This window comes from Homo sapiens, chromosome 6 (assembly GCF_000001405.40).
Source record: "Homo sapiens chromosome 6, GRCh38.p14 Primary Assembly".
Taxonomy (NCBI): Eukaryota; Metazoa; Chordata; class Mammalia; order Primates; family Hominidae; genus Homo; species Homo sapiens.
The window spans coordinates 169,155,958-169,171,040 of NC_000006.12; the positions used below are offsets into that span (position 1 = coordinate 169,155,958).

Consider the following 15,083-nt stretch of genomic DNA (forward strand, 5'->3'; position numbering starts at 1 on the left):
ACATTTTGAATTATCCATGTCTACTGAGAGGAGAGGTTCGGTGGACAGACCCTATATGAGTTTTGGGGTCGGGGAGTGGTCTGAACCTGAGGTATGAATTTCGGAGTCAGAGGTGTGAGGATGGTGTTTAAAGCCATGTGGACAGAGAAGAGGAGTAAATCCGGGAATGAGTCTGTGGTTCCTTCGATATTCAGAAGCTGGGAACAGAGGGATTAGCAGAGGCAGCTGAGAACCAAAGAGCGGGACCCTAGAGGCCAAGTGAAGAGCAAGGAGTGAGCTGAAGACGCTGTCGGAGTTTCCCTGTGTGCTGACAGGCCCGTGGAAGGGGACTGAGAGGCACCGCCGGGATCACCCGAGTGCTGCCCCCACAGACACAGAGTGGTATGGACTAAATGGTGGGGGTGACGGCTGATGGGAGTGGGTGCAGAGCAATGGGGACGTAGCTTACTGACAGCATGGGTTGGGAGAATCTGTTCTGTTTTGTTTTAAGATGGGTGAAATCACATGTCTATCTGCTGTTGGGAATGACCTGGCATCCGTGGTTCATTTTCCTTTGTTGGTAACAGGCTCCCAGGGTGCTGTACACACACCCCTCCCTCGTGCATTTCAGAGGCTCCTCACCAGGCTTGTGATTCACATCCTTGAAGCAGGAAAGGCATGGATGGTCGTTTGATGCAATCAGCCACATAGTGCTATCTGGGAGTGACGGCCGGCGTCCAAGACAGTCTTCCCAGGTCCTGGCCTGCTGTGGCTCTCCCTGCTCCAGCCTGCCTGCCTCATGCTGGGGTCTGTGTGCTCAGAATATGGCAAAAGGGGGGTGTGGGCTTCTGAGACCAGGCCACAAGTGGCCGCAGCTTCCTGCCAGGCAAATCCTTGCCCTCCTGGATCACTCACTTGGGAAGCTGAGGTTTCTGATGGCCGCAGGAGTGTGCTTGGAAGCCTCACCTCCAGTCCCATCCAGTCTTCAGATAACTGCAGACCCAAGGGACCCCCTGAGCCTCAGCCAGCTAGTCAGCCAGCTAGGCTGCTTCTCAACTTCTGAGCCCAGAAACTGTGTGAGATGAGAAAGGGTTGTTTAATCAGCTAAAGTTGGAGGTGAATGGTTATGCTGCAATAGATAACCAATTCTCAGGGACAGATAGGCTTGGTAGACTGGAGATCTTGTCAACCTGAAGCACATGTTTTCTTTGAGGCTAGTTTCTACCAAGAAAAAACAGAGATGGAAGATTCTAGACCACTCAGTGCCAACTTTTTTGTATGTTTTATTTCTGTGTCCTTGCGGAGGTCACTCAGGCAAAAGCAGTGGTCTCTTGGCCGTTTACACACATATGACAGCATGTTTATCACACACTTGGTTACTCTCTGCAATGCTCCCTGTGGCTGGCACTATTCACCGTTTACGTCCTCACCACCCCATCAGGAAGACATGTAGGTTTAATCCCTACAGCCAGAGATTTCTGCAACGCCAGGGCACAAGCTTCTTACGTCGTCTTTGAAGGAGCACAGATGATTTAAAAGAAAATAACACTAATAGCCAACAACCGGGGACCCCTTCCTGCCTTATGGAAGCTTCCCCCACAGAGAATCCCATTTAATATTCATAGGAAGCCAATGAGGCCTCTGTGGCTCCCACTGGCCTGACAAGGAAGAAGAGGCCCCGGAGGGCACGGAGCCCGCCTGGAGTCAAAAAGCCAGAGACTGCAATGATCCCAGTTGCAAAGCTGGCACAACAGGCTGTACCCTTTTATGGGAGGGTCACTGCCATGCAGGAGAGGGGAGCAGTGTGGGTTGTGTGAGATTTCCTAGAGGTGCCTCTCGCCATGGCCCTGCCAGCACCTCTGGTGGTTCAATTATCACCGAGGAACGGCTCCAAGTCTGAAGGGTTTTTTGAACCTTTTCCCTGCTTTTCTTGCAATGAGAACTCTGAATGAGGGGCAGAGGAGAAGCAGATGCCAAATCGCCGAGAAGCACTCCAAGCCCTCTGGCAATGGAGTTCCGAGAAGAAAGAATGGGGCGCAGTTTCCAGGTTCTGCCTGCCCCTCCTACCCCAGCACTTCCCTCCCGCCCTGAACTCCTTCCACAGGAAAGGCTATGAAGCCCACCATCCCTGTCTGAGGTAGACCGGGCAGAAAACACGCAGGTTTTGTTGCGAAGTGGAATGTGCTAGTGTGCTGTCTGCTCAACCAGTGTCTTCTGCTTTGATTTCATTTTTATTTTTTTAAGAAGAAAATAAAAATCTCAAAGACTAAGTTCTCATACTGTAATTCCTGGAAATCATTCTGGAGTCAAATACTTTTGTCTGTTAAGAAAAAAAATAAAATGTAGAGATTTCCTGCTGCTCCGGGAGTGTCGCCAGCAGACAGGGGTTTCAGGCTCCCCCTGCCAGAACTTCTGAGCAACGTGGCAGCTGCCGGGACCGGGCCTCTGAGTGCAGAGAGCAGGCGTTGCCAGGAGCGGACTCAGACAGTGGAGGCCCCTCGCTGACCCTCTCCGGGGCCACTGCAAAGGAAGAAGAAAAGCACAGGCATCAGCTTCAACAATGCAAAACAAAGTAAGCTTGAATTCAGATGAGGGGCAGTTAAAATCGCAGCCTAGAAGTCCAAGTGTGGTTTGTAACACTCCAAACCCCATGTCAGCCTTCAGTGATTGTTCTGCTGACCATGTTGCTACAGAGCGGCTTGGGTTTTTCCTTGTGGCAACTCCCCAGGGTGACAGATTATTCGGCAATGTCACCATTTTGTAGATGTATTCGGGATTTCCAGCCATAAGCCATGGATGATATTGGGGATCCTTTATTCCTGGTGGGTGCCCATAAGAGTTTGCAAACTATACCCAAAAGGGCACGGGAACCCCTAAACTTTCCAGGCTGTCTTGGCACACGGCTCACTAGAACTGTTAACGCCGTCAAAGTATCTCTGACACGTCCTTAGCCTGTGTTTGAAAACCTGCAGAGATGGGATACGCCCCTTTACCAGAGACAGTGCATTCCGTCCACTGGGAGTGACACACGGCCAAGCCAGGCTTCAAAGAGAGAGGTTCACCGTATTCCAGTAGTGACTACTGGGATTTAGGGTTGGATCACCTTACCAGAGCTTGGAAGCTGCTAGAAGTTAACATTAATTTTATTGTTCTTTAAAATGAAAGTCCAGCAGGAGGGCCAGGATTTGGGCATCTCGGTCCTTCACGAAAAGAAAGGGTGATGTTGATTAGCCATGTTCCACATCCCCCGAGTTAAATATAGGAATAGTTCTGACATCTGACTCAAGAATGTGTTTTCTTGCATGATATTAAGGCAGATGCACAGATCCACGTAGATTAATCCCCTTCACTAGTAGCAGGGGCCCGATGAGGTAGCTGATGAGGAAGAGCCCCCGAGACCAGGCCCAGCGTGGGGCCACGGCCTTGGGATCTGGACGACACCCCAGCGGTTCTGTGCCGCCAGCAGGCCCTGCCGCATCTCTGGGCTGGAGCCCTGACTGTCAGCAGATGAGGCCATGGGTTGGGGTGTCTCTCCCACCAGAACGGCTTCGTGGGGTGCTCACTATCCCCTGGTCATGCTTCGGCACAGCTGGCACCGGCTCCCTGAGGGCCCACTGATTGGTTTTACACAAGTCTGTGAAGCTTCCCACAATGCACGATGTCCTTAGCAAATACAACACAGCCCGCTGGTATCGCCTCTTCCTTCACTACCTCCACAACCACTTGTGGCAGAGGAGGAGCCTCCAGTTGCACTTGGCCAAGGCGGCTTTTGTAAGAACTTGACGGGACCAAGCCACCCCCACGGCATCATTTCCACGGGAGAACACATCCCAGCGAAACTCCAAGGAAAGGGTAGTTTTGTGAAGAAAATGCTTGTGTTCTAGGACACAGCCCAGCAAGTCCCTGACTTTAAAAAATGTGTAAGAAACAGGAATGTAACATTGACGAAACATGCCTGCCAAGATGGACTTTCCTTGTGGCGAGACCCTTCCTTCTCCTCAATGCCTGGGTGCTAGCAGGGTAGCATCCCCAGCCTCAGAGCTCAAGCGTCATGATTGGGGAAATGAGACTGGGCAGCCATTCGGAAGGCCGGGCAAAGAAGAGTGTAAAGAGACATTGGTCTCGTGCTGCAGAATGAGTTACAAATAGTGAATCCTCAGCAATACTGTCTCCCCGTGGACTGGAATTTGGACCCGCTGCTGTGGCGGGCAGCTTTGACCCAATGAGGACCACGCCTGGAAGGATGTCAGAGCAGCAGGGACCTGGGTGGAGTGACCTGGTGGAACGGAGACGCCTGCCGGCTCAGCAGCCACAGCAGCAGCTGCCCGTCATGGGACAGCAACGTGGCAAGAATTCCCCACGGGTTCCGGGGGAGCCTGTGTTGCTGGACCCTTTGCCACACCACCGAACCTGGCCCAGAGGAGCAGGAATTGGCCGAGTTCCAGGCCCTGCACCTGACGGGGGCTTCCTCAGCCTCTCATGTGATCCTCGCAGCAGGCTAACGTGCAGGCCCTTCTGTTTTCCAGATTTGACAGTTGAGAGGGGAAAGCCATGTTTTCAAATGTTACAGTAGAAGAGGCAGGATGCAAATCCAGCCCTGGCTGGTGCTGAAGCTGGGGCAGGTGCATCTGCAGGGTGCTGCCTTCAAGGCAGAGGGGTGACTGCTGTGTTTCATGGCAGGGAAGCCCCCCTTGATGCTCACACCACCCAGGTCGTACGGCTTTGAGGACATCCCTTTCTTCAAACCCAGGTCATCTGAACAGTGTGGCCTGAATCCCAGGTTGGGAGTGAGTAATTCATCATCCAAACTGATTAGAGAATCTGAGTGAGGGACCTTCAAGTCAGGGATAGAGAACGGGCTTCGTCTTCTGGAGCTGCCATAACAAAATGCCGAAGACTGGGCGGCTTCAACCACACAAGGGCCTTTCGACACAGCCCTGGCAACTGGAAGCTGGGGGTCGAGGTGTGGGCAGGGCTGGTTCCTGGGGAAGGATCTCCTCCCGGCTGCAGATGGCCGCCCCTGGCTGCATGCCCGCCTGGCTTTCCTCGGTGCTCACTCACCCCGGTGCCTCTTCTGCTTCTTAGAAGGATCCCCAGCAGATGAGGGCCCCAGCCTGGTGACCTCACTTACCCTCCATCATGTGCTGAAGGTCCTTCTCCAAATGCAGTCAACGTGGGGATTAGGGCTTCAACTTAGGGCCCGGGGCGGATGCAATTGAGTTCGTAGCAGACGTTATCTTCGGGATCCCCTGTCTTCCCCCTGACCCTGTGAGGCTCACTGTGAGGGGAAGGGAGTTCCATTTCTGCTAAAGCCATAAACTGGAGATCCTAAGAACTTATGGGACCACTCAGTGCTGACTTGCATAATCTCCTGGTGGCTTCCCTGTCTGCACCCCATCTCTCTCGAAGCCTGGCCTCAGGCCCTCAGCCTGGCACCCTGTCTTCCAGCCTCCTCGGCTCCACTGCAGGGCTGCCTCATCCTCAGCACAGCCCCTGTCAGCTCAGCCTCTGCACCCATGCTTTGGCCACCTCCTCCTGTCCTCTCCACTCACCCTCTGGGAAAGGGGTTCATACAATCTGCTGGCCCTGCTGCCAGCTCTAACCCATTGATCCTATCACTGTTTTGGGGTCAGTCTCCCATCCTCCAGCTGTCCAAACTCTCCACCTTACATATTTGAATTCCATGACAAATCATTTTTAACACTGCCTTGCCTGCAATCTCACCATTTTTGGATTTCTGTTTATTGAACTTGCTTGGTTAAATCTTATTCTCTTCCATCTCTGTGTGCAATTACACAACTGGTCATCACTGGTAAAAATCTCAAAACCACCCACAGAGACAGTCCAGCAGGCCGCATCATGCCACCAGCCAGCCTCATGCGCCTCCCTCATGGTCTCCTACCCATCTCCTGGCTGACACTGGTGCCTTCTCCCTCTCCTCAACCTGCACCAGCTCGGGCCTCACCCTCCCGCTGAGCACCAGCCTTGCTCTCTCCTGGTCCCTGGCAAGGTGGGGGTGATCTGAAGGAAGTCTCGGTCTCCTCCCCCTGCCCTGTCCACGGGTGCCCCGGCCCCTGTATCCAGGGCCCTGCCCTCCACACTGGGGACCACGATGCACATCCCCGCCCCGCAGAGCCAGTCCGTGGCCTGGCCTGCCCGCCCCGTGTGCAGCTTTCTGCCAGCACAGCTCTGCTCACCCTCAACTTCACTGTTTTTCTCCTGGATTCTCCCCATCAGCAAACACACATGCTGTTATTTGTCCCATTTTAAAACACAATCAAAACAAAACAGAGTACTTTGGACTGCACTTTCTGCCAGCCACCACCCTCGAGCTCCTGGCCTGTGCAGCTGACCCCACGGCCAGGTCCTCCTTCACGTTCTCGCCACCCCAAATGCGGGCACCGCGGCGCCAAACCTGCTCTTCCCACTGTTGTCAATAACCGCAGCCTGGCCGAATCCAGTGATTCATTTCTGTCTTAATCTCTCCTGGCCTTTCGGCAGCGTTTAACGTGTGCGACCCCTCCCTTCTCCTGTCTTCAGCCTTCCTCGGGATCCGCGAGGCGCCCTCTCTCCCATCTCCCTCTCAGGAGTGTGTCTCCAGCCCCGCACCTGCCCTCTCTATTCTCAGTGCATCCCCGCCGCAGGCATCACCCTCTGACTTGTCATGCCATCCGCCCCCTCCCTCACTGTATCTACGCTTTATTACCTGCCTTGGCTCGTACAATGTCAGCTTTGCAAGGGGTTCTTCCAAGGTCTTATTTTCAATTGATCAATGCCGAGGATGGGGAGCAATGCGTGTACCAGAGGGGGCTGGGCACACGCAGGCTTGTTGTTGGATGGAGGAGAGGCAGCATCCCCTGCATGCCTGGGTGGTCCCCATCTCCAGGCCTGCGACAAGCACTTCTCATCTTCCCATCCTCTGACGGAGCCAGTCCCACCCACCACGTGGACGTGGGTGTTGTCTGTGGACCAAGGTCAGTGTTTTGTTGGTTTTTCTTATTGTTTGGCACCAGCATTACATAGACCAATAGACCTTGTTGTTCTCCGCCCGGAGGGGCTGGTGCTGTGGCTGGGGCACCGCCCTGGGTAGGCCCCGCCCCAGGCCATGCAGTTCCCAGGCTCCTTTCTGGGAGGGGTTGGTTCTCACAAAGGGGGAAAATCATGAAATGGCAAACCTGAGTCACGGCAGCACAGAGGACAGCCCCTGAAGGCATAAGCAGGAAGGGCATAATGCTTTCCAAAAGAGAAAACTACATGGACTTTACTGACTCATCACTGAGTTCTGAGATCACTGACACTTACACATGTGTCCACGCTGTTGTGAGTCATGGGGAAAAATGGAGGAGCAAAATGACCAAGTGGCAGGGTCTGTAAGAGTCTCTCACTGTAGGGATGGGCTGCCCTGAGGAGACACTGCCCAGGCCTGGGTGCCCCGGGCCAAAGTCCTGACCCTTGCAGGGCTGTGTCCTGTGGATGACATGTGGCACTGGACTGCTCACTGACAGGTAGGAACTATGCACTGAGAGGTGGGAACTGCTGGCCGGGGGGTGGGAACTGCTGGCCGAGGGGTGGGAACCGCCTGCTGAGGGGTGGGAACTACTGGCTGGGGAGTGGGAACTGGGCACTGAGAGGTGGGAACTGCTGACCAGGAGGTGGGAACTGCTGGCCCGGGGGTGGGAACTATGCACTGAGAGGTGGGAACTGCTGACCAGGGGATGGGAACTGCCTGCTGAGGGGTGGGAACTGTGCACTGAGAGGTGGGAACTGTGCACTGAGAGGTAGGAATTGCTGGCCAGGGGGTTGGAACTGCCTGCTGAGGGGTGGGAACTGCCCACTGAGAGGCAGGAACTGGGCTGAGTGCTCAGTTTTCCTGTTCTGCTGATATCTTCAGAGGCATCAGGATGTGGCTGCCTTTGGGGAAGCTGCATTTACCCAGCCAAGGATGCTGCCTCCAGAAACAGAAGTGGCCTCAGGCCAGAAATAGGGGTCTGCCTTTTTAATATATTGTGTTGGTTAAATCAGCAGTCCCCAAACTTTATGGTACCAGGGACCAGTTTCATGGAAGACAATTTTTCCATCAACTGGCAGTGGGGGCAGTGGGGGCAGTGGGGGTGGTTTCTTGATGATTCAAGTGCATTACATTAATTAATTAATTAGTTTGTTTTTTTTTTTGAGACAGTTTCGTTCTTGTTGCCCAGGCTAGAGTGCAGTGTCACAATCTCGGCTCGCTGCAACCTCTGCCTCCCGGGTTCAAGCGATTCTCATGCCTCAGCCTCCCGAGCAGCTGGGACTACAGGTGCCCGCCACCATGCCCAGCTAATTTTTATACTTTTAGTAGGCACAATGTTTCACCATATATTGGCCAGGCTGGTCTCAAACTCCTGAACTCAGGCCATCCACCTGCCTCCCAAAGTGCTGGGATTACAGGCGGGAGCCACCGCACCCAGCCCAAGTGCATTATATTTGTTGTGCACTTTATTTCTATTATTATTACACTGTAATATATAATGAAATAATGATACAGCTCACCATCATGTAGAATCAGTGGGAGCCCTGAGCTTGTTTTCCTGCAATGAGATGGTCTCATCTGAAGGTGATGAGAGACAGTGACAGATCATCAGGCATTAGATTCTCATGAGGAGCACGTAACCTAAATCCCTCGCATGCACAGTTCACAAGAGGATGTGAGCTCCTGTGAGAATCTGATGTTGCCGCTGATCTGACAGGAGGTGGAGCTCAAGGGGTAACTTGAACCATGGGGAGCGGCTGTCAATACAGATGAAGCTTTGCTCACCTGCTGCTCACCCCCTGCTCTGGGGCCCAGTTCCTCACAAGCTATGGAACGGTACTAGTCATGCTCCCAGGACTGGGAACCCCTGGTTTAAATCATAAGGGAAATCTCAGTTTAAATCTTTATTTTAAAAAAATAACAAAAATGAATTTTCTGCTTATGATGGCCTTATATTAACAGAAATGAGTAGTGCTCACATTTTGGAAGTAAGCCTTCTAAGTTATGATGATGATGATGATTTACTTTTCTATGTTATATATACATGGGCGGTATGAGTTCAACAGTCACTTGCGTATTATCAGCACATGTTAACTTAGGAGGATTCTAGAACTTTTTTCTTTCACAGAATTAGAAGTACCTTTTCCAATATTCATGCCATGAAGAGTTTGTTGGTGAGTTCTGATCCACCCCTCTCAAATCTGCCTATATATGGGGCCGTCCATGGTGATGGGGTGGACAGCTGGGCTCTGCAACCTGCCAGCGTTTTCCTGCTGTGCCCTGAGGCAGTGCTCAGGCTAGCCAAAGATCTGTGGGTGCTGAATGCAGCTGTCCTCATCGTGAGCTCCCTTTTTGTCACCAAAGCTGCTTCTCTTGGTTGATTCTGTTAGGTGTGGGGTGTATCCACAATTTCTTAGGTTAATACTTAAAAGATAGAGACGTACTCAATCCAGGTCCAGTGGAATGCCTTTGGTAGTGGGATTGTACCCAAAGTTCACAGAAGATAAATTTTATATAAAATGAGCCAGGTTTGCTTTGTACATTTCCAACTGTAGAATGAAATTTAGGGGACTGAATAGTCAGTGTCTTATTTCACTTGTGTCTTTGGATACAAATGTTTTTCTTTTAAAACTCCTGACTGCATATTCCTTGTGTGTGTGTGGCTTTTAGTCCTAGATTGTAAAGCTTGCCAAGTCTGCCTGCTGGGAACTGACTCCTCTATGCAGAAGCTCCCCTTCCTCTGACACAGTGCAGGTGGGTCAAAGCCTCCTCCTGCACTTTATCCTTGAATTACACAGGAACTTGCATTGAGGCCATTGAAAGGGTGATGGCTTAGAGTGCATGAGAGCCTGGCCACCATGTGCTAGTGACCGACTGCACCCGCTGTGGCCCTCAAAGGGAGTCATCATCACCTGCCTTGCCAGGCACTGTCTGGTGAAGCCCCTGACATCTCTCCCAAGCCTGTGGGCAGTGGGGATGCTCTCTATGGCACGGAAAGCCTTTCACAGTCAGCGTGAGATAGTAATCAGTGTAAAACTGAAATGCGTCTTCTCCTTATCCACTGAGGCGTCAGCTCCCCCGCCGGCAGCAGGTGTGCTGTTTTCAGTGGCTCTGGCACCCATGGCTGTGGGTTGTGCTCTAGCAGTGTCTTCATCACAGAGGCACTTCCCTGTGTGCTGCGGCTTTGCCACCAGGACATCTTCTGCACACACTGTCCTGGGTAGGCCTTAGAGCTATGTCTGGACCAGAGAGCTTGAAACTGTGCCTACAAACCTGCTTCTGTCTCCCTGTGAATTTGAATAGGGGAGGTTTGGAGATCATGAAGATGAGCCCTTAGCGACATAGAGACGACGATTCCCTTTTCCTACTAGCAGTGACCCTCTTAGCCAGCAACCTGAGTAGCAGGTTTATCTAGGCGTCTTGTCTCCTGGTCTGTTTCTAGAGCTTTCTGCTTTGCCTGGCTTTAGAGAACTTGCTTTCTGTCCATGCCCTGTAAGGGATGGAGTGACTGATTTGCAGTTTCCAGGGGGACAGTGACTTTGAGAAGATCCCTGCATTGCACACACCACAGGATTTTACCGTACAGCAGAAACACTTCTGCCTCTGTTCATGAGGTGGGCTGGTAGAGGGCGGGCGCGTCCCCTAGGAAAGCTGAAAAAAGGGGAAAGTAAGAGAGTTCTTGGTGGAAGTATTTTTGTTTGTAACTTTGCCTCCTATAAGATATTAGAGAAGAAAATCGTCCGAGAATGGGGAAGTAGGGGAAGAGAACGGATAATCAATCCCTGGATTGGAGCTCTAGTCTAGTTGATTGGTCAGGAAGACTGCAGAGGTTTCCAGGTTGGATTGTCAATTTCAGTTCATCACAACAAGGCCCAGGAATCAGAAACAGGGCTGCAATCAGCAGAAACAGCCCTGCTCTGGACATCTCAGGGGCCTGAACATGAGGGCTGGGTCCAGGAAGGACAGGGCAAATGACGGCAGGACAGCAGCCCAGCCCAGCCAGGGCTCACAGAAGCGCTCCCAGGCAGGGCAGCAGAGGGCCCAGCAATGCTTCTTGAGAGCACGCCGCGGACATGACTTCATGTGGATGTGCTTTCCCTTCTAGAAAGACACACGCCTGGGGCACCATCATCACTCGGCATCCCTTGATGATGGAACTGCCCTGAGACAGTTCCAAGGAGTGGCGGCCCAAGGCCTCACACTGGACGGAGGCTGAGCTCCACTGCGGCCCCGGCAGGCGGGCTTCCTAAGAGCAGCGTGGAATCCCGGGGCTCTGCGCACCGTGCCCGGCCCCGGGCTCCCTGACGCGAGGCAATGCCTGGGCACAGCGTACGGCCACCGGCACCTTCACTCCTCACCTGTGCACGCGAGTGTGGGGGATGAAGCGACATCGGTGTGTGGCGTCTCAGTGCAGCGCCGGCACACACAGCCCTAAGCAGATGCGGAGCAGAGATGACGGTGGAGTCACCCCGCGGGTGCAACCCCATCTTAGCAGGAGGGCCGGGTTTTGGGCAGCTCGGGCCTTCAGAAAAAGGATCATGTCAGCGTGCATGCCACGCTGCACGTCCCGGGAGTTAAATCTAGGAATAGTTCTGACACCTGACTTAGGAGTGTGTTTCACTGCAAGTATTAAGGCAGATCCGCAGACCCATGTAGATGAATCACCTTCACTTTCAGCTACTAGGAGGGGCCCCATGAGGTAGCTGATGAGGAAGAGCCCCCTAGACGAGGCGCAGCGTGGGGCCACGGCCTTGGGATCCGGGCGCCACCCCAGCGGTTCTGTGCCGCCAGCAGGCCCTGCCGCATCTCCGGGCTGGAGGCTTGACTGTCAGCAGATGAGGCCACGGGGTCGGGGTGTCTCTCCCACCAGAACGGCTTCGTGGGGTGCTCACTATCCCCTGGTCACGCTTCGGCACGGCTGGCACGGGCTCCCTGAGGGGCTGTTGGAGAACCCCCAGGCCCCCTGGGTCTTGCCACGGAGACCACCCAGCCTCAGGCTGGTTCTCAGGTGGCCCCTTCTCTACGCTTAGGACGTGGCTTTTCCCAAGCTCTTTCCCAGCTGCCTGTCACTTTTCTTCCCAGCTTTCCCTTCCGAAGGGAGCTCGGCTTCATTCCATGGCTTTCCAGTCACGTCATAAGCATTTCCTCGTCTGACCCACGAACTGATAAAACGCTCTGGACGGGGCGGCCTGCATGCTCCAGGGACTGCATCATCTCCGTGGGCGGCAGGGCGCCTGCAGGCACCCAGCCTTGCGCGGGGCAGGCGGTCTTCTGAGGGTGCAACCCTGTCCCCCCAGGGCCCTAAACACAGCGTCAAAACTGAGCTACCTCCACAAAAATTTTGAACAAACTAGAAATCATAAGGTGGTGAATAATGATATGTTACCATACGCAAGTAGAAAATTGAAAGTTTCAGCAAAAACTAAGTCCAAAGCAACAGCTGCGCCAGGACGGAGAGCCCACAGTGAAATTGCTGCGTGCGCCCAGGGCGGCGGCGGCGCCAGGCAGGCGCGGATCCCGCTGCGAGGGACTTGCCTGCTGACCTGGGGCCGCAGGGAGCTCTGCTTTATCAGGAGAATATTTGAAAAGCGATCTATTAAAAGGAATGCTTAAGTGAATTATAAAAGTCTGAGAAAGGAAATGGGAGAACCAAGTTATCTAAATTTTCTCAAAACTAATTATTAGCTGGGCGAAAATGTAGATATTCGGGGCACTGAGGGTGGTGAGTGCGATTTTGCTTGCACCATTGGCAAAGTATACCTTGAATTTATCAAAATTTTGTCATCATCTAGTCTTAAATAGTTAAACGGTAAGCAAACGACGCTAAACAAAATAAGGAGACAGAGAAAAGTGCGGACAGTTCTCACAGGAGTTTCCACTGGGGCTGCATTCCCAGGGCGCTGGCCGGGAAAGCTCAGTCCACTGAGCACAATATGCTTTCTCCATAGCGTGAGGGCTGCCACCATCTACCGAGTGGATCATTAGGCCTGTCTCCCAGAGACAGCAAAAAATGTGCAGAACTACGTACACATCCGTGGGCCGGAAAGCACTTTCCCTATAGATTCTGGTGCCCTGCGGCTCTCGGATGGGGAGATGCGCGCACTCCAGACCCCCACAGGCCCCCAGAGCACGGTGGAGGGTGGGGGCAGAGTCATAAGAGACGTTTTACCAAACATCACTGAATGCAGCTTTTTCTCTCCCTTGAGAAAAATGAAACACCCAGTAATTTAATTTTAAATTTAAAAGCTGCCTCTTTAAACTTTGTTGAAAAATACAGAATATGCCACCATTCTGCAGTTTCATGTCATGAATGGATAAAGTACGAGGAAAGGGAGGGGAGGAATTTGTAAAAGTTTAATGGAAAAGGCAAGAAGAAAGCTGGCCAAGAAAGAGAGAGGGAGAACCAAGAGAGACGGGATGTGGGGAGGAGAGAAAAGCGTGCAGATGAGGAGAGAGCGGGGGAGGAAGGGGACACAGACAGCCCGGAGCGTCCCTTTCCGAGGAGCGCTGTGGACAGGCCTGAGCAGCCTGGACGGGAGTGACTTGATGATGTGATGGGCGGATTTCCTGGCAAACTTTCCACCTCTTTCAGGTCACACCCATCTTCAGTCTCTGCTCACCATGACAGAGTCACAGCCACACCCGGGACAGAACCTGGGCTCCGGGCAGCAGGTAATAGGAGGATATTCTACCCAGGGCCGGAACAAGCCAGGTCCAGCCTCAACTGCTCTGTGGCTAGTAAGTGCGAGGATGCTGTGTCACAGGTGTCACACGTCACTAAGAGAACGTCGTGGGCGCACGGGGAATGTCTTTATGGCACTGTCTGGAAGCAGGCTGCATCTCAGCAGCTCCAGAGGTTACAGGGGCTGGTTTTCACCAACACAAGAAGTGTTAGAGACAGGAGACGTGGAGGAACCTGTCGAACCTGGTGGGGATCGAGTTTAAACACATCTGCACACACTTGGGTGTGTGTGTCCCAGCGCATCTCAGCCCTGAGTGCCCACACCTGGCTTCCCTGCCCCCCCACCCCTCCTACCCCACAGTCCACACTGCCCCACACCTACTCGTGTCCAGAAAGCTCTCGCTGAGCCTCCTCCCACATCAGCCACTCTTGGAGGACTGAGAAAACAGTGGTGGGGGGCCAGTTCCCAAATCCAGGCGCTCCTGGCACATCCAAATCCGGGACGACTGACCAAGGGCTCGCACTCAGCCTGAGGAAGCAAGTGGTCCTTTGACTCGGAGTAAGAACTGCTCAGAGGCCAACGTGCTCTGGCTCGGGTCCCCCTGGCACCTCCAGGCAGGTCTTTCTAATTTGGTTCCTGAACACGCTCCAGCTCCCATCCTGAGGCCTGCCCTTGCCCTTCCCTCCCCCATTGCTCTTCCCACCCTCCTCCCTTGCCATTCCCTGTCCTCATTGCTCTTCCCACCTTCCTCCTTCCGCTCCCTCTCAAGGCCCTGCCCTGTCTGGTTCACCATCCTCCTCTCGTCCTCTCCTGGCTCCTCCCCAGAGCTTGGTGTTCATTCGGACGCCTTCTCCCTGCAGCCTCCACCAGGGCCCTGGCTGCCCTCGCCCTCCAGCAAGTCACTGTATTTTACGTTCTTCATGGAGTTTTTTACTTTTGAGATTTATCAACTTTACATGCATGTTTGCTGCACCCCCTCACTAGATTTCATCTACATGGGAACAGAGACCCCTCTGCTTTGCTCCCTGCTGTAAACATCCCGGCTCGGGAAAGTCTCTATCTACAGACACTGCTGGGTGCTGAGTTTCCAGAGCAGTCAATGCGATGTGCGACTCCGTGGTGAGAACTGAAGATGCATGAGGATGAGGGGCGCTCGATCCCTGTCCTCTGTGATCTGGTACAACAGAATCAACCCCTGCATGGTGGGCCCCAGTGAGCAGCCTGCGGGATGCACGGAGCCACCCAGAAACACGTGAACTCGGTGGCAGCAGCAGAGACAGAAACATCTCACAGTACACCAGGAATGAAAGTGTAAAATACTTAGCATTTGACAAGGTTTCCAGTTATATGTTCTTCTTTGAGCATCAAATGAGGGTCCCATACCTATTTCTGTGCTCATGTTACAGACAGAA

General features: G+C 53.2%; 1 long non-coding RNA gene across 2 annotated transcripts; it reads right to left on the reverse strand.

Annotated features, from left to right (window-relative positions):
- Nucleotides 1–2,134: 2,134 nt before the first annotated feature.
- Nucleotides 2,135–7,032, reverse strand: LINC01615 (long intergenic non-protein coding RNA 1615). 2 transcript variants are annotated; one of them, NR_132622.1, is made up of 4 exons: nt 6,177–6,344; nt 5,111–5,257; nt 3,088–3,179; nt 2,135–2,499 (listed from the first exon to the last, which is right to left on the reverse strand). It is a non-coding gene; the product is annotated as a long intergenic non-protein coding RNA 1615 (long non-coding RNA). The 2 variants fall into 2 exon arrangements; NR_132623.1 differs by lacking the exons at nt 3,088–3,179; nt 5,111–5,257; nt 6,177–6,344 and adding an exon at nt 6,686–7,032.
- Between the last annotated feature and the right edge of the window lie 8,051 nt (nt 7,033–15,083).